The sequence below is a fragment of the Homo sapiens genome, chromosome X, assembly GCF_000001405.40.
Source record: "Homo sapiens chromosome X, GRCh38.p14 Primary Assembly".
Lineage (NCBI taxonomy): Eukaryota > Metazoa > Chordata > Mammalia > Primates > Hominidae > Homo > Homo sapiens.
Window position 1 is genome coordinate 75,220,538 of NC_000023.11, and position 20,082 is coordinate 75,240,619.

The window sequence follows — 20,082 nt, forward strand, 5'->3', positions numbered from 1 at the left end:
TTTTAATTTCTTGCTTTTTATGTTTTTCGATCCATTGTACATTTTTTGATATGAGGGTGCTTTGATGCTTGCAAATACTATTGTATAACCCATTATTTTAAACTGATTACAACTTAATACTGATTGCATAAAAAATTAAATGAGAAGCAATGAAAAAACTAATATAAACTCTACATGTTAACTTCAACCCCTGCTTTTTAACTTTTTGTTTTTTCTATTTATGTCTTATTGTACTGTCTACGTCTTAAAAAGTTTTTGTAGTTGTTTTTGATCTGTTCATCTTTTAGTCCTTCTACTTAAGATATAAATAGTTTGCACAACACAAATACAATGTTATATTATGTGTTTTTCTCCATACTCACTATTATCAGTGAGTTTTGTACTTTCAGATGATTTCTTGTTGCTTATTAACATCATTTTGTTTATGATTAAATAACTCCTTTAACATTTCCTATAGGACAGGTCTGGTGTTGATGAAATGCCTCAGTTTTCATTTGTCTAGGAAAGTATTTTTCTTTTACATTTAAAAGACATTTTTATGGGATATACTATTCTAGTGTAAACATGTTTCTTCTTTTAGCACTTTAAATATGTTATGCCACTCTCTCCTCGCCTGTAAGATTTCCACTGGAAAACCTGCTGCCAGATGCTGTGTTGTCTGTTTTTTGTTTGTTTTTTTTTTCTTTTCTCTTGCAGCTTTTAGCATTCTTTCTTTATTGTTGACATTTTGGGAATTTGACTATTAAATGTCTCAAGGTAGTATTCTTTGGGTTAAATCTGCTTGGTGTTCTATAACCTTCTTGTACATAAATATTGATATCTTTCTGTAGGTTTGGGAAATTCTCTGTTATCATCCCTTTGAATAAACTTTCTACCCATATCTGTTTCTCTACCTCTTGTTTAAGGCTGATAGCTATTATATTTCCCCCTTTGAGGCTATTTTCTAGATCTCATAGGGATGCTTCATTGTTTTATATTCTTTTTTCTTTTGTCTCCTCTGACTGTGTGTTTTCCTATAGCCTGTCTTCAAGCTCACTAATTCTTCCTTCTGGTTGATCAATCCTGATGCATTCTTCAGTATACATCAATTGCTTTTTGCAACACCACAATTTCTGCTTGATTCTTTTAAATTATTTCAATATCTTTGTTAAATTTATCAGATAGGATTCTGATTCCCTTCTCTGTGTTATCTTGAATTTATTTGAGCTTCCTCAAAACAGCCATTTTGAACTCTCTTTCTGAAAGGTCACATTTATTTCTCTCTCTGGGATTGATGCCTGTTACCTAATTTAATTCATTTGGTGAGGTCATGTTTTCTGGATAGTCTTGATGCTTGTGGATGTTTGATGAACAGTTTCTGGACACTGAGTGGTTAGGTATTTATTGTAGTTTTGCAGTCTGGGCTTGTTTGTACCTGTCCTTCTTGAGAAGGCTTTTCAGGTATTTGTAAGTACTTAGTTGTTGTGACCAAAGTTTTTGGTCACTGCTTCTATATCTGCATTAGAGGGCCCTCCAGTCCAGCAGTGCTGTGGTTCTTGCAGACTCATAGAAGTACTGCCTTTGTTGTCTTGGATAAAATTGGCAAGAATTTTCTGGTTTACCAGGCAGAGACTCTTATTCTTTCCTTTACATTCTCCCAAACAAATGGAGTCTCTCCCCCTGTGCTAAGCTGCCTAGAGCTAGGGGAGGAGGAGGAGTGACACAAGTACTGCTGTGGCCATCACACTAGGACTGTACTGGATGAGAACTGAAGCCAGCACAGCATTGAGTCTCATTCAAGACCCACTGTAACCACTACCTGGCCACTGCCTATGTATGCTCAAGGCTCTAGGGCTCTCCAATCAGCAGGTGACAAAGCCAGCCAGGCTTCTGTTCTTCCCTTCTGGTGGCAAGTTCCCCTGGGCCCTGGGTATGTTCAGAGATGCCATCCAGGAGCTAGGACCTGGAGTCAGAAGCCTTAGAAATCTGCCATGTGCTCTACTCTACTGCACCTGAGCTGGCACCTAACCACAAGACAAAGTCCTTCCTTCTTTTTCCTCCCATTTTCACAGGCAGAAGATTCTCTTCCCATGGCCACCACCCCACAGGCCCATGGGGAACACTGCCAGGCTACCACTGGCATTCACTTAAGGCCCAAGGGCTCTTTAGTCAGCCTGTGGTAAATTCTGCCTGGTCTAGGATTCACCCTTTGGGGCAGTGGGCTTACCTCTGGCCCAATGCAGGTCCAGAAATGCCATCTAAGAGCCAAGGCCTGGAATCAGTGACTGCAAGAGCCCACTTGGTGTTCTTTCCCACTGTGGCTGAGCTGGTACCTAACCTACAAGACAAAATCCCCTTTACTCTTTCCTCTGCTATTCTCAAGCAGAAGTCTCTCCCATAGCCACCACATGTAGGAATGTTCTGGGTCACATCTGAAACCAGCACATTTTTGGAGTCTTGCCAAAGGCCCACGGCAAGTAGTACCTGGCTATTGCTGGTGATTATTTAGGGTTCAAGGGGTCCTTAGTCAACAGTTGATGAATCTTTTGTGGACTGGGTCCTTCCCTTCAAGGCATTGGGTTTCCTTTTGGCCAAAGGTGTGTCTCAAAATGTTATGCAGGAGCTAGGGCATGGAATGGGGTCCTCATGACTCTGTCAGCTGCCCTATCCTGCTGTGGCTAAGCTAGTGACCAAGTTGCAAGGCAAAATCCACTTGACTCTTCCCTCTCCTTTCCTCAAGCAGAAGGAAGTAGTCTTTTTGGAGCTTCACATTAGGCTGGCTGTCTGGTGTTGGGGGAGGGGTGGCAAAGGCACTCTTTAAGCTTCCCTGGTTGGTGTCACACTAGGCCATGTGCCCCCCGAGTTTACTGGCTTCAAGCTCAGCATCGCACTAGAACTTTCCTAGACTTGCGTTGCTTGTGGCCTTGACTACTTTTTATGTTTATTTAGGACCCCAGAGCACTTTAGCCCACAGTGGTGAAGCTTGCTGAATATCAAGTTCTTACTGCAGAGATTGGTGATTCCATTCTGGCTGGAACGTCTGTAAATGCTCTCTCTGTGGGCATCAGCTGAGTTCTGCATCATGTTGCTTTCCACTGACAGGACAGAAGTAAGTTTTAATGCAAAGTCCCACAATCACTGCAGTTTCCCTCTCCCAAATGCACAGATTATCTCTCTGTATCACGTGGTCACTGCTGGGGGATGGAGGCGGGGTGGTGTCAGCAATTCAAGACTGTATTTCCTACCCTCTTCAGTACCACTTTCAGTGATATGAAGTTAAAAGCAGGTACTGTGATCAGTCATTTGATTTTTGGTTCTCATGAAGGTTTGTGTGTGAATCATTGTTAAATTTGGTGTTCCTGTGGAGGGGAAGATCAGTGGAGGCTTCTATTCAGTCATCTTGCTTTACCTCCTATTTTTCTTCATTCTTTTTTTTCTCTGCATGCATAATCTCTATCAATAGTTCTCCAAGCTCATTATTTCTTTTTTCTGCAAATCCAAATTTACTGTTGAGGTCCTACAGTGATTTTTTTTATATGTCAGTTATTGTACTTTCAACTCCAGAATTCCCATTTGGTTGTTTAAAAAAAATTCTCTTTATTGATATTCTCTATTTGATGTGACACTGTCATTATATCTCCTTTATGTCTCTAATCACGCTTTACTTTAGTTCTGTGAATATATTATAATGGCTAATTTGCAAACTTTTCCTGTTAAATCCAGTTTCTAGTCACTCTCACAGGCAACTTCTGTTGCCTGTTTATTTTCCCCAAATATATGTGTCATACTCTCCTGTTTCTTTGCATGCCTCAAAATTTTTTATTGGAAACTGGACATTTGAGAACATATTGTAGCAAATATTGGTACTGCTCCCACAGCTTATTATTATTTCCTTCTTTTTTTTTTTAGAATAAATTATTTCAGTGACCTCTATCTCCCTTCCCTCCTCCTTACCACTCACATTGTTAGGTCTCTGACGTTAATCCTCAGGAGGGCAAAGTTTTGAGTATTCCACAGTTACCTTGGAATCATGGTGTTATTGGTATAGTTCTCTTCCACGTTTTTTCCTGATCACACCCAGCCATTGAGTTCCTATCTTTACAATGTCTTGGAGCACAAATTCAACTATTAACTAATCTAATCAACTTGTATCTCCTTCTAAGGAATAGTTCCTGAGGTAGTACTTATTCTGAACCCAGGCAGGCTCCTCCTACATGTTTTATTCCCTGGTTCTCTCCTGCATACTTACTGGCCTATATTCTAGGCTATATTTTCATTAGAGGAATGAATATCCTCTTGATTCCCTTTCACCACAACTTTCACTGTTTTTGAGAGGGCTCTTAGGTTTAAATGCCTCTACACTCTGTTGCAAATAAATCAAGCTCCTTGAACTACCTGTTTGATAGCCTGCTTCTTTCTCTCACTCTCCCCACACTCAGGCAAAATCTCTAAGCAAGGTTCTGTAGCTGGAGGTGAGAACAATGGCAAGCTTCTGAGTAACACTTTCACTCTAGGAGCAGAACACTCAGTGGAGCGGTCGCAGTAGTTTGAGATCTCAGCTTACCTCTTCTGATGTGGAACCACTGCCTCAAAAATCAAGGAAAGGGCTATTGGGTCCCCAGTATTCTCAGCATGTCATGCTCAAGTTAGAGCCTTCATTTCACAAGTGGGGGTTGGTAGAGACTCATGCCTATAATCCCGGCAATTTGGAAGGCTGATGTAGAAGGATTGCTCGAGGCCAGGAGTTTGAGACCAGCTTGGTCAACATAGAGTCCATCTCTACAAAAACAAAACCAAAACCAAAAACCACACACACACACACACACACACACACACACACACACACACACCCTAGGTGGGGAATGGGCATAAGAAGGGAGCTCCTACCTCTTGACCACAGTTACCTGGAACAGCCTCAGCAACCAGTAGCTGGGGGCAGAATGAGAAATGCAGTTTTACTCCTCCTGAGAATAATGCTTCCAGTTGGGGGAGAGGCAGTCCTATATTCTTGGCTGCTGTAGCCTGGAGTGAAGTTTCTACCTTGCTGATCTGGGAGGAGGGAAGAGAGAGCAGGCTTGATTCATATGCCACAGACTTGAGCAGATATTTCTTCACTTGCTGTTTGACCTTAGGACCATTTCCAGAGGCTTTAAGTGTTTTGTTTTTTAAACAATTGTCACCAGTTATTCTGGAAAATGGGTTAGCAGAGCTACTCATGGTATCATTCCAGAAGTCAATCCCTCAGAGGTCTTTGAACCTCTTCTATTTTTCTGTATATCCACTCTTTTTATTCCATCCAGTCTCATGGCTTTAAATATAAACTATACGCTGATTTCTCTCAAATGTACATCTCCAAGGACCTATCCCCCTAAACTTGAGTTAAATACTGTATGCGGCTTCCTAGTTAACATCTCCACTCAGATATCTAATAGGCATCTCAAACTTAACATGTCTAAAATTGAACTCTTGATCTATACCTCACCCTAAAACCTGCTTTATCCATAGTGTTCTCTATCTCAGTAAATAGAATGTTCTTCTTTTTTATAGTGTATACAAATTTTTATCTTCCTGTTGCTTTGGACAGAAACCTTGGTATTATTCTTGACTCTTTTCCCCTCCTTATCCCACATGCAATCTACCAGCAAAATTTAAAAGATCTATCTTTAAAATATATCAAGATTTGACCACTTCTCACCCCCTGCAGCCAGCTCAAGCCACTATTATCTCTCCTGTGGATTATTGCAGTAGCTTCTTAACTATTGTAAACTTGTGCCTACCCTTAAGATGTGTCTACCCTTCTATCTCCTAACATGCCAGAGTGATTCTGTTAAAACCTAAACCATATCATGTTACTCCTCCGATTAAAACCATTTGCTGTCTTCTAATCACACGGAAAGTTATGTTCTCACAATGTCCTAAAAGACTCCACAATCTTTCCACTCCATACCCAGTTTACTCTATGATCTTATCTGCTATTACTGTTTTCCCTCAACCACTCAGCTCCATCCTAGTCACTCTGCTAATTAACACACTAACCTCACATTTATCTCAGAACCTTTGCACGTGTTATTCCCTCTGCCAGAAATACTTTCCCGAGATTGCATTCTTATCTACTTCAGGTCTTTGTTCTTATGGCATCTTTTCAGTGGGGCCTATTCTGACCTCCACATTTAAAATTAATGTACTCTCTCTGCCATCACTCTCGATTCCCTTTCCCTGCTTGCCATCATTTAATGTAATGCATGTTTCACTTATTTATTTTGTATATTGTCTGTTTCCCTGCCAATTGACTGTAACGTCCATGAGGGCTGGGATAATTTTCTCTTTTGTTCACCACTCAACATCTGAGAACACTGTCTGGCACAAAGTTGGTTCTCAATAAATACTTGTTGAATGAATGAATGAACTGATTTCAATGGAGGGAAGGAGCATAAAGGCACTTCTGGTATGGGAGAATAGGGAATAGAAACAGAAGGCTTAAGACCTCTTTATTCTCATTGCAAATTGGGCACAAACAAGCTTTGGGCATGTATGTGAGCTTAGGTGTACCTCAGTGCCCAGTACTGCCTTTTCCACTCCATCGTCCAGTCAAGTCTTTAGGTATTTGATATGTAAATCACTTGACTTGGGCCATGGCAATGCTTCCCAATGGCCATGGGCATAGGCTCCCACTAAACAGATATAAACAAACTGGTGGTTTTCTAATCTCCTCCACATTTTATCAACTATTTAGTTACATGACTTTGTATGACAATATACATGAGATTAAAGGGAAGCGGATGAGGGTGGCAGGGGTAGTGTTTGGAATATATGTGTTGTGGGCCTGGAGTCAAAGTCAAAGTTCAGCCCCAGTTATTACTTTGGTCAGAACTTCAGTATTCCACTCAGGAATCTTCCACAGACGTGCCATTGAACAAATATCATAATAAGATAATAAAGAGATCTACATGGAACCCTGGAGCCCTATTTCCACATTCGATGAATGAAGAACCTGAGGCCCAGAGAGGGGAAAAACTTGCCGAAGTTCCTGAATATAGCTAATGGAAGGAATCAAAATCCTTGCTTCTTGCCTCGTAGTCTGATGCTGTTTCAAATAGGAGACATTGAATTCTTTTTCATGGGGTACCCCAACTGAAGAGAACCCCTAAAATCAGCAGAAATACTGTAAAAGAAGCCAAATGCAATATAATACATAGTGCATATACTTACAAAGAGAATTTCATCTCAGCAATAATTAAGGGACATATGTTGAGACTTTTGCAAGCAGGTACATGTTAGTTCAGGCTTCTAACTTCATTTTAACAAATCAAAGCCAGAACTCAGTCAATTAATCTTGTCAGTCAGACTCCCTGATAAGTAGGTCTGATACTGCAATTTGCAAAGTAGTTTAGTCAACTTCAGCATTGCCTCTTTTCTTTTTATTTTTTTAAATAGTTTAAAGCATCAAATTCACACAGGCACATTGATAGTAAGGTTATTTGGAATTAAGCTTTTTATCTGTTATAAGCTGGGTACCTCTGGAAACAGACTCTGTGATAAAGATGTTTGTGCAGGAAGTTTATTGGGGAGTGCTCTTGAGAACAATATCTGAGAGGGACTAAAAGAAGCAGGACTAAGAAGAGAGAGAAATTGCAACAAAGGACTCATCCAACTTCATGAGGAGTTCTGAGATTGAGACAGCCCTTCAAAGATGTTTCAAATTGAGGCAAGGGCTCTAGGTCTTTGTATTTTCACATGGATCTGTCAATGGATGCAGTCTGCACCTGAAGAAAAGGATGCATAATGTTGAATAGGGCAGATCCCTCAGCCTAGGACAATTCCTAGGAAAGGAATTAGTTACACCTTGTAACTCATGTCTAGTCAAGCTAGACATGACTGCCTGAGTTCTTCATGGAGGATGAGGGTTGTACAGTATCCATCACATTTCCCTTCATTTAGATTTGGCCTTCCTTGACTTCCCCACACCAGCATCATCAAATGGTTTATTTCACTCCTTCCTTGCCTTACTCTTTGCATTATTATGCCTATAGCAGTGTTCAGCAGAATTGCATTCTCTTTCTCTTTGGTTTTGAAATATTGCTTTTTCTTCTTTTTTTATATATCCTCCAGAAGACTTGCTTGGAGGGTGAAATATAGCTTTTGTTGATAATTGAGTTCTATAGGCAAGAAGAAGTAGCCATAACCTGGGAACCATAACAGCTTAGTTTTTAATATATTAATTTAACAGGTTCTCTTTTTTATATACCTTTTAGACATTGTACTTTCAAGTAAACTAACTTCAAAAAGTTGGCAATATGTATTTGAAAATGATTTTAAAATTTTGAAATCCTGCCATTTGTGAAAAATAGATGAATCTGGAGAACATTATGCTAAATGAAATAAGCCAGACACAGAAAAAAGATACTGTGTCATATCACTTATTTGTGGAATCCAAAAAAGTCAAACTCATAGAAGCTGAGAGTAGAATGTTGGTTGCCAGAGGCTGCATAGGAAGGTGGATTGGAGATATGTTGGTAAAAGCGTGCAAACTTTCAGTTCTGAAATGAATACGTTCTGAGGGTCTAATGTACCATATGGTTGACTATAGTTAATAATACTGCGCTGTAGACTTGAAATTTGTGAATTGAGTAGACCTTAAGTGTTATCACCACACCCAAACAAAATGGTAACTATATGCAGTGATGGATGTATTAATTAGCTTTATTGTGGTAATCATATCATATTGGATATGTATGTCAAATCATCGTGTATACCTTGAATATATATAACTTTATTTGTCATTATGCCTCAGGAAACCTGGAAAAAAGCAAATAAACAAACAGTAACAGGATCAGGCATTAAAGAAAAAATTTTGAAAGCCAGGAAAGTAAATAGTAAAGAAGATGAGATATACATTTAAAAAATACCCAATTCTTGCTCCAAGAACTACCACAGGAACATACCAGGAAAACTGAGAGAATTCGCAGACCCTTTCAAAGAAGCAGCTTGCCATTGCAAACGCTGGTGAGACAGCTGAAAAACTGAGTTCCCAAAGTGTGAGAGGGGAAAAAGTCAGCCTCTGAACATCCATCCCTACTGGGGAACCTGAAAATCCAGATCATGGGAGAAGGATTTAACCTTACCTAGAGCTGAAACAGATTTAGGGAGCTGAGTGAAATATAAAAGTAGAAGAAGCAGTTTGAAGAGCCTTGTAGGCACTCCCAGTCCTCAGCTTGAGCCCCAGGGAAGCCATTCCTGGTCTTATCTCACAGAAGTCCTGGGGGAAGGGATGGCAGCCAGCAGAATTGGGGAGGGGCCACAGGGTGAAAGAAGGTCCTAGCTGAACTTCTGTAATAATTTTGACTGAGCACAAACTTTCCTGAGAAGAATCCAGGGTTAGGGAGAGGTGAACAGGAAGTGCAGATATGAGTGCAGAAGCCACAGCAGAAGTTGCAGGCAGGTGGTGAGGTGAAGCCTGAAAGCCCTGCTTGCTTTCTCAGCAAGGAGGCTTGTGGCCTGGGGCAAGATCACAGCCCTCCTCTCCAGCTGCCTGGATATAAACTCTGCTATTGGTGGGGCACAGTGGGAGTGAGACTGGCCTTGCAGGCTGCATGAGAGCTAGGTGAGGTCTGTCACTGCCGGCTTTCCTCCACTTTCCTGGTGACCTGTATGACACAGCAGAGGCAACCATAGTGCCCCTGGGAACATAACTCCATTGGCCTGAGAACCCTCTCACCCCCAACACTCAAAGTGGCCAGAGCAAGCTCCACTCAGGGAGAGTCTGATCTCAGACCTGCCTACCCTACAGCCACCTGATGATTTTTCTCTACCTGCCCTGGTAGCCTAAGACAAAAGACATAAGCTATTGGGAGCTGTATGGCCCCACCCATCAACAAAAAACCCTAGTACTCATCCTGGCCAACATAGGGCAAGATTATATCCCCCTTCTACTACTGCAGCTGGTGCCCTCTTGAAAGCATCACCTGCTGGCTGGATGCCAACCAAGCCATTACATCAACTAATAACAGAAAAATCCTGCTCCAAAGAAGGAGAAAACAACAGCTCTTTTTACCACTTGCAACACCCTGGCTAGTCAGAGATCCTGAGTCTGTCCACATGACAACTTGACTGCTAGCATAACTAGCATTTGTGGAAACCAGTGCACTAAACAAAACTACAACCAGGGACTCCCACAGAGCTCACTTCACCCCCTGCCACTTCCACTGGAGCAGGTCCTAGTATCTGTGGCTGGGAGACCTGAAGATGAATCACATCCCAGGACTCTTTGCAGACATACCCCATCACCAGCCTAAATCCCAGTAGCCACACTGGGTGGCTAGACCAAAGAAGGCAATAACAATCAGTGCAGTCTGACTCTTAGGAAGCCCTATCCTTAGAGGAAGAGGGAGAGAACCACATCAATGAATCACCCTATGGGACAAAATAATCTGAACGGCAGCCCTTGAGTTCCAGAACATTCCACTGAAACAGTCTACCCAAATAAGAAGAAACCAGACAAGTAATTCTGGTAATATGACAAAACAAGGATCTATAAAACCCCAAAAGATCACACTAGCTCTCCAGCAGTGGATCCAAACCAAGAAGAACTCTCTGAATTGCAGATACAGAATTCAGAAGGTTGATTATTAAGCTACTCAAGGGGCACCAGACAAAGGTGAAAAACAACTTAAAGAAATTTTTAGAAAATAACAAAATATGGATGAAAAAGTCTCCAGAGTAATAGATATCATAAAGAAAAGACAATCACAGCTTCTGGAAGTGAAAGCACACATAGAGAAATGCAAAATACATTGGAAACTTTCAACAATAAAATAAAACAATTAGAAGAAAAAACTTCCACACTCAAAGAAAAGGCTTTTGAATTAACCCAATCCAACAAAAGCAAAGGAAAAAGAATTAAAAAATGAACAAAGCTTCCAAGAAATTTGGGATTATGTTAGATGACCAAACATAAGAATAATTGTTGTTCCTGAGGAAAAGAGAAATCTAAAAGTTTGGAAAACTTATTTGAGAGAATAATCAAGAAAAATCTTCCCTGGTCTTGCTAGAGATATAGGCATCCAAATATAAGAAACTCAAAGAGCACCCAGGAAATTCATTGCAAAAAGATCATCACCTAGGAACACAGTCATCAGGTTATCTAAAGTCAAGACAAAGAAAAGAATCTTAAGAGCTATGAAGCAAAAGGATCAGGTAACATATGAAGAAAAACCTGTAAGATTAACTGCAGATTTCTCAGCAGAAAACCTGCAAGCCAGAAGGGATCCAGGTCTTATTGATAAACTCCTTAAACAAATTATCAGTAATTTTGTATCCAGTGAAATTAAGTTTCATAAATGAAGGAGAGATAAAGTCTTTCTCAGACACACAAATGCTAAGAGAATTTGCCACAACCAAGCCAGCACTAAAAGAAATGCTAGAAAGATGGCTGAATAGGAACAGCTCTGGTCTACAGCTACCAGCATGAGCGACGCAGAAGCCGGGTGATTTCTGCATTTCCATCTGAGGTACCGGGTTCATCTCACTAGGGAGTGCCAGACAGTGGGCGCAGGTCAGTGGGTGAACTCACCATGCATGAGCCGAAGCAGGGCGAGGCATTGCCTCACTTGGGAAGGGCAAGGGGTCAGGGAGTTCCCCTTCCTAGTCAAAGAAAGGGGTGACAGACGGCACCTGGAAAATTGGGTCACTCCCACCCGAATACTGCGCTTTTCCGATGGGCTTAAAAAACGGCGCACAGGGAGATTATATCCCGCACATGGCTCGGAGGGTCCTATGCCCACGGAGTCTTGCTGATTGCTAGCACAGCAGTCTGAGATCAAACTGCAAGGCAGCAGCGAGGCTGGGGGAGGGGCGCCTGCCATTGCCCAGGCTTGCTTAGGTAAACAAAGCAGCCTGGAAGCTCGAACTGGGTGGAGCCCACCACAGCTCAAGGAGGCCTCCCTGCCTCTGTAGGCTCCACCTCTGGGGGCAGGGCACAAACAAAAAGACAGCAGTAACCTCTGCAGACTTAAATGTCCCTGTCTGACAGCTTTGAAGAGAGCAGTGGTTCTCCCAGCACGCAGCTGGAGATCTGAGAATGGGCAGACTGCCTCCTCAAGTGGGTCCCTGACCCCTGATCCCCAAGCAGCCTAACTGGGAGACACTCGCCAGCAGGGGCAGACTGACACCTCACACGGCCGGGTACTCCAACAGACCTGCAGCTGAGAGTCCTGTCTGTTAGAAAGAAAACTAACAAACAGAAAGGAAATCCACACCAAAAACCCATCTGTACATCACCATCATCAAAGACCAAAAGTAGATAAAACCACAAAGATGGGGAAAAAACAGAGCAGAAAAACTGGAAACTCTAAAAAGCAGAGCGCCTCTCCTCCTCCAAAGGAACGCAGTTCCTCACCAGCAACAGAACAAAGCTGGACGGAGAATGATTTTGACGAGCTGAGAGAAGAAGGCTTCAGAAGATCAAATTACTCCGAGCTACGGGAGGACATTCAAACCAAAGGTAAAGAAGTTGAAAACTTTGAAAAAAATTAAGAAGAATGTATAACTAGAATAACCAATACAGAGAAATGCTTAAAGGAGCTGATGGAGCTGAGAACCAAGGCTGGACAACTACGTGAAGAATGCAGAAGCCCCAGGAGCCGATGCGATCAACTGGAAGAAAGGGTATCAGCAATGGAAGATGAAATGAATGAAATGAAGCGAGAAGGGAAGTTTAGAGAAAAAAGAATAAAAAGAAATGAGCAAAGCCTCCAAGAAATATGAGACTATGTGAAAAGACCAAATCTACGTCTGATTGGTGTACCTGAAAGTGACGGGGAGAATGGAACCAAGTTGGAAAACACTCTGCAGGATATTCTCCATGAGAACTTCCCCAATCTCGCAAGGCAGGCCAACATTCAGATTCAGGAAATACAGAGAATGCCACAGAGATACTCCACGAGAAGAGTAACACCAAGACATATAATTGTCAGATTCACCAAAGTTGAAATGAAGGAAAAAATGTGAAGGGCAGCCAGAGAGAAAGGTCGGGTTACCCTCAAAGGGAAGACCATCAGACTAACAGCGGATCTCTCAGCAGAAACTCTACAAGCCAGAAGAGAGTGGGGGCCAATATTCAACATTCTTAAAGAAAAGAATTTTAAACCCAGAATTTCATATCCAGCCAAACAAACTTCATAAGAGACGGAGAAATAAAATCCTTTACAGACAAGCAAATGCTGAGAGATTTTGTCACCACCAGGCCTGCCCTAAAAGAGCTCCTGAAGGAAGCACTAAACATGGAAAGGAACAACCAATACCAGCTGCTGCAAAATCATGCCAAAATGTAAAGACCATCGAGACTAGGAAGAAACTGCATCAACTAATGAGCAAAATAACCAGCTAACATCATAAAGACAGGATCAAATTCACACATAACAATATTAACTTTAAATGTAAGTGGACTAAATGCTCCAATTAAAAGGCACAGACTGGCAAATTGGATAAAGAGGCAAGACCCATCAGTGTGCTGTATTCAGGAAACCCATCTCACGTGCAGAGACACACATAGGCTCAAAATAAAAGGATGGAGGAAGATCTACCAAGCAAATGGAAAACAAAAAAAGGCAGGGGTTGCAATCCTAGTCTCTGATAAAACAGACTTTAAACCAACAAAGATCAAAAGAGACAAAGAAGGCCATTACTCAATGGTAAAGGGATCGATTCAACAAGAAGAGCTAACTATCCTAAATATATATGCACCCAATACAGGAGCACCCAGATTCATAAAGCAAGTCCTGAGTGACCTACAAAAAGGCTTAGACTCCCACACATTAATAATGGGAGACTTTAACACCCCACTGTCAACATTAGACAGATCAATGAGACAGAAAGTCAACAAGGATACCCAGGAATTGAACTCAGCTCTGTACCAAGCAGACCTAAGAGACATCTACAGAACACTCTACCCCAAATCAACAGAATATACATTTTTTTCAGCACCACACCACACCTATTCCAAAATTGACCACATACTTGGAAGTAAAGCTGTCCTCAGCAAATGTAAAAGAACAGAAATTATAACAAACTATCTCTCAGACCACATTGCAATCAAACTGGAACTCAGGATTAAGAAACTCACTCAAAACCACTCAACTACATGGAAACTGAACAACCTGCTCCTGAATGACTACTGGGTACATAACGAAATGAAGGCAGAAATAAAGATGTTCTTTGAAACCAACGAGAACAAAGACACAACATACCAGAATCTCTGGGACACATTCAAAGCAGTGTGTAGAGGGAAATTTATAGCACTAAATGCCCACAAGAGAAAGCAGGAAAGATCCAAAACTGACACCTTAACATCACAATTAAAAGAACTAGGAAAGCAAGAGCAAACACATTCAAAAGCTAGCAGAAGGCAAGAAATAACTAAGATCAGAGCAGAACTGAAGGAAATAGAGACACAAAAAACCCTTCAAAAAATCAATGAATCCAGGAGCTGGTTTTTTGAAAAGATCAACAAAATTGATAGACTGCTAGCAAGACTAATACAGAAGAAAAGAGAGAAGAATCAAATAGATGCAAAAAAAATGATAAAGGATATATCACCACCAATCCCACAGAAATACAGACTACCATCAGAGAATACTATAAACACATCTATGCAAATAAACTAGAAAAATCTAGAAGAAATGGATAAATTCCTGGACACATACACCCTCCCAAGACTAAACCAGGAAGAAGTTGAATCCCTGAATAGAGCAATAACAGGCTCTGACATTGAGGCAATAATCAATAGCTTACCAACCAAAAAGAGTCCAGGACCAGATGGATTCACAGCCGAATTCTACCAGAGGTAGAAGGAGGAACTGGTACCATTCCTTCTGAAACTATTCCAATCAATAGAAAAAGAGGGAATCCTCCCTAACTCATTTTATGAGGCCAGCATCATACTGATACCAAAGCCGGGCAGGGACACAACCAATAAAGAGAATTTTAGACCAATATCCTTGAATATCCTTGATGAACATTGATGCAAAAATCCTCAATAAAATACTGGCAAACCGAATCCAGCAGCACATCAAAAAGCTTATCCACCATGATCAAGTGGGCTTCATCTCTGGGATGCAAGGCTGGTTCAATATACGCAAATCAATAAATGTAATCCAGCATATAAACAGAACCAAAGACCAAAACCACATGATTATCTCAATAGATGCAGAAAAGGCCTTTGACAAAATTCAACAACGCTTCATCCTAAAAACTCTCAATAAATTAGGTATTGCTGGGATGTATCTCAAAATAATAAGAGCTATCTATGACAAACTCACAGCCAATATCATACTGAATGGGCAAAAACTGGAAGCATTCCCTTTGAAAACTGCCACAAGACAGGGATGCCCTCTCTCACCACTCCTATTCAACATTGTGTTGGAAGTTCTGGCCAGGGCAATGAGGCAGGAGAAGGAAATAAAGGGTATTCAATTAGGAAAAGAGGAAGTCAAATTGTCCCTGTTTGCAGAAGACATGATTGTATATCTAGTAAACCCCATTGTCTGAGCCCAAAATCTCCTTAAGCTGATAAGCAACTTCAGCAATGTCTCGGGATACAAAATCAATGTACAAAAATCACAAGCATTCTTATACATCAACAGCAGAGAAACAGAGAGCCAAATCATGATTGAACTCCCATTCACAATTGCTTCAAAGAGAATAAAATACCGAGGAATCCAACTTACAAGGGATGTGAAGGACCTCTTCAAGGATAACTACAAACCACTGCTCAAGGAAATAAAAGAGGATACAAACAAATGGAAGAACATTCCATGCTCATGGGTAGGAAGAATGAATATTGTGAAAATGGCCATACTGCCCAAGGTAATTTACAGATTCAATGCCATCCCCATCAAGCTACCAATGACTTTCTTCACAGAATTGGAAAAAACTACTTTAAAGTTCATATGGAACCAAAAAGGAGCCCGCATTGCCAAGTCAATCCTGAGCCAAAAGAACAAAGCTGGAGGTATCGCACTACCTGACTTCAAACTATACTACAAGGCTACAGTAACCAAAACAGTATGATACTGGTACCAAAAAAAAGATATAGATCAATGGAACAGAACCGAGCCCTCTGAAATAATGCTGCATATCTACAACTATCTGATCTTTGACAAACCTGAGAAAAACAAGCAATGGGGTAAGGATTCCCTATTTAATAAATGGTGCTGGGAAAACTGGCTAGCCAGATGTAGAAAGCTGAAACTGGATCCCTTCCTTACACCTTATACAAAAATCAATTCAAGATGGATTAAAGACTTAAACGTTTGACCTAAAACCATAGAAACCCTAGAAGAAAACCTAGGCATTACCATTCAGGACATAGGCATGGCAAGGACTTCATGTCTAAAACACCAAAAGCAATGGCAACAAAAGCCAAAGTTGACAAATGGGATCTAATTCAACTAAAGAGCTTCTGCACAGCAAAAGAAACTACCATCAGCGTGAACAGGCAACCTACAAAATGGGAGAAAATTTTCTCAACCTACTCATCTGACAAAGGGCTAATATTCAGAATCTACAATGAACTCAAACAAATTTACAAGGAAAAAACAAACAAACCCATCAAACAGTGAGTAAAGGACATGAACAGATACTTCTCAAAAGAAGACATTTATGCAGCCAAAAGACACATGAAAAAATGCTCACCATCACTGGCCATCAGAGAAATGCAAATCAAAACCACAATGAGATACCATCTCACACCAGTTAGAATGGCAATCATTAAAAAGTCAGGAAACAACAGGTGTTGGAGAGGATGTGGAGAAACAGGAACACTTTTACACTGTTGGTGGGACTGTAAACTAGTTCAACCATTGTGGAAGTCAGTGTGGGGATTCCTCATGGATCTAGAACTAGAAATACCATTTGACCCAGCCATCCCATTACTGGGTATATACCCAAAGGACTATAAATCATGCTGCTATAAAACACATGCACATGTATGTTTATTGCGGCATTATTCACAATAGCAAAGACTTGGAACCAACCCAAATGTCCAACAATGATAGACTGGATTAAGAAAATGTGGCACATATACACCATGGAATACTATGCAGCCATAAAAAATGATGAATTCATGTCCTTTTTAGGGACATGGATGAAATTGGAAATCATCCTTCTCAGTAAACTATCGCAAGAACAAAAAACCAAACACTGCATGTTCTCACTCATAGGTGAGAATTGAACAATGAGAACACATGGACACAGGAAGGGGAACATCACACTCTGGGGACTGTTGTGGGGTGGGGGGAGGGGGGAGGGATAGCATTGGGAGATATACCTAATGCTAGATGACGAGTTAGTGGGTGCAGCGCACTAGCATGGCACATGTATACATATGTAACTAACCTGCACATTGTGCACATGTACCCTAAAAGTTAAAGTATAACAATAATAAAAAAAGGAATGTTAAAAAGAATCCTAGATCTTGAAACGAAACCTTGAAATACACCAAAATAGAAACTCCTTAAAGAATAAATCTCACAGAACCTATAAAACAATAATACAATAAGAAAAACAAGGTATTTGGGTAACAACTAGCATGATGAATAGAGCAGTACCTCACATTTCAATACTAACATTGAATGCAAATGGCCCTAAATGCTCTGCTTAAAAGATGCAGAATGGCAGAGTGGATAAAAATCCACCAACCAAGTACCTGCTGTCTTCAACAGACTCACCTATCACATAAGGACTCACATAAACTTAAGGTAAAGAGGTAGAAAAAGATATTCCATACAAATAGACACCCACAGCAAGCAGGAGTAGCTATTCTTATATCAGACAAAACAGACATTAAAGCAACAACAGTTAAAACAGATAAAGAGGGGCATTATATAATGACAAAAGAATTAGACCAACAGGAAAATATCACAATCATAAATACATATGCACCTAACACTGGAGCTTCCAAATTTATAAAATATTTACTACCAGACCTAAGAAATGAAATAAATGGCAATAGTGGGAAACTTCAGTACTCTACTGACAGCACTAGACAGGTCATCAAGACAGAAAGTCAACAGAGAAACAATGGACTTAAAAGAAGAAATGGACTTAACAGATATATACAGAACATTCTACCCAACAACTGCAGAATATACATTCTTTTCATCAGCACATGGAACATTCTCCAAGATAGACCATATGATAGGCCACAAGAAGTGACTCAAGAAATTTAAGAAAATCAAAATTATATCAAGTACTCTTGCAGACCACAGTGGAATAAAATTAGAAATCAACTTCAATAGGAACCCTTAAAAGTATACAAATACATGAAAATTAAATAATCTTCTGAATGATCCTTTGGTCAACAACGAAATCAAGATGGAAATTAAAAAATCATTTGAACTGAACAATAATAGTGACACAGACAGTCAAAACCTCTGGGATACAGCAAAAGCAGTGCTACAAGAAAAGTTCATAGTATTAAATGCCTACATCAAAAAGTCTGAAAGAGCACAAACAGACAGCTAAGCTCACACTTCAATGAACTAGAGAAACAAGAACAAATCAAACCCAAACCCAGCAGAAGAAAAGCAGTAACAAAGATCAGAGCAGAATTAAATAATATTGAAAGAAAAAAATACAAAAGATAAATGAAACAAAAAGATGGTTCTTTTGAAAGATAAACAAAAGTGATAGACCATTAGCAAGATTAACCAGAAAAAAAGGAAGAAGACCCTAATAAGCTGAATTAGAAATAAAATGGGAGATATTACATCCCATAGCACAGAAATACAAAGGATCTTTCAAGGTTGCTGTGAACAACTTTATGTGCGAAAATTAGAAAACTAGAGAAGGATACATTCCTTGAAATATACAACCCCCCTAAACTATGAGGAAATATAACTTTTGAATATACCAATAATAAGTAGCAAGATTGAAACAGTAATAAAAAAAATTGCCAACAACAAAAAGTCCAGGAGCAGATGCATTCACAGCTGAATTCTAGCAAGCCTTGAAAGAAGAATTGGTACCAATCCTATTATAACTATTCCAAAGGATAGAGAAAGAGGGAATCCTCCCTAAATCATTTTATGAAGCCATGATCACCCTAATACCAAAACCAGGAAAGGATATAACAAAAAAAGAATACTACAGACCAATATCCTGATGAACATAGATGTAAATATCCTTGACAAAATACCAGCTAAATGAATTCAACACGATACCACAAAGATAATACATCATGATTAAGTGGGTTTCATACCAGGGATGCAGAGTTGGTTTAACATATGCAAGTCAATAAATGAGATACACTACATAAACATAAGTAAAAGCAAAAATCATACCATCTCGATAGATGCAGAAAATCATTTGACAAAATTTAGCATCCCTTTATGATTAAAACTCTCAGCAAAACTGGCATAAAAGGGACATACCTTAAGGTAATAGAAGTTATCTATGATAAATCCACAGACAACATTATATTAAATGGGGGAAAAGTTGAAAGCATTTCCCTTGAGAACTGAAACAAGACAAAGATGCCTACTTTCACCACTTCTATTCAACATAGTACCAGAAGTCCTAGCCAGAGCAATCAGACAAGTGAAAGAAATAAAGGGTATCCACATTGGTAATGAGAAAATCAAACTATTGCTGTTTGGTGATGACATGATCATATATCTGAAAACCCTGAAGACTCACCCAAAAAGCTCAGAGACCCGATAACTGAATTCAGTAATGCTTCAGGATACAAAATTAATGCACTCAAATCAGTAGCACTGCTATACACCAGCAGTGCCCAAGCAGAGAATCAAATCAGGAACTCAACCCCTTATACAACAGCTGCAAAAAACAAAAACAAAGCCCTTAGGAATATACCTAACCAAAGAGGTAAAATATCTGTATAAGAAAAACTACAAAACACTGCTGAAAGAAATTATTGATGATACAAACAAATGGAAACACATCCCATGCTCATGGATGGGGAGCACACTGCTGAAAGCAAACTATAAATTCAATGCAATTCCCATCAAAATGCCACCATCATTCTTCACAGAGCTAGCAACAACAATTCTAAAATTTATATGGAACAAAGAAAGAGCCCGCATAATC

The 20,082-nt window shown here is 40.1% G+C and overlaps 1 protein-coding gene and 1 long non-coding RNA gene across 3 annotated transcripts in view; one reads left to right on the forward strand and one right to left on the reverse strand.

The window, feature by feature from the left end:
- UPRT (uracil phosphoribosyltransferase homolog) overlaps window positions 1-20,082 on the forward strand; it is a 148,529-nt gene that overhangs the window by 64,169 nt on the left and 64,278 nt on the right. Inside the window, exon 4 of the mRNA NM_001363821.1 lies at window positions 2,929-3,088. The gene's annotated coding sequence lies outside the window, so the exon portion shown is untranslated. The remainder of the gene's footprint in view (window positions 1-2,928; window positions 3,089-20,082) is intronic.
- Window positions 1-20,082, reverse strand: part of LOC124905200 (uncharacterized) — a 58,324-nt gene that overhangs the window by 4,825 nt on the left and 33,417 nt on the right. The window contains exon 2 of one of the 2 annotated variants that reach the window (XR_007068269.1): window positions 4,884-5,028. This is a non-coding gene — a long non-coding RNA (uncharacterized LOC124905200). Of the gene's footprint in view, window positions 1-4,866; window positions 5,029-20,082 lie in introns of both variants that reach the window. The other variant, XR_007068268.1, reaches the window with a different exon arrangement.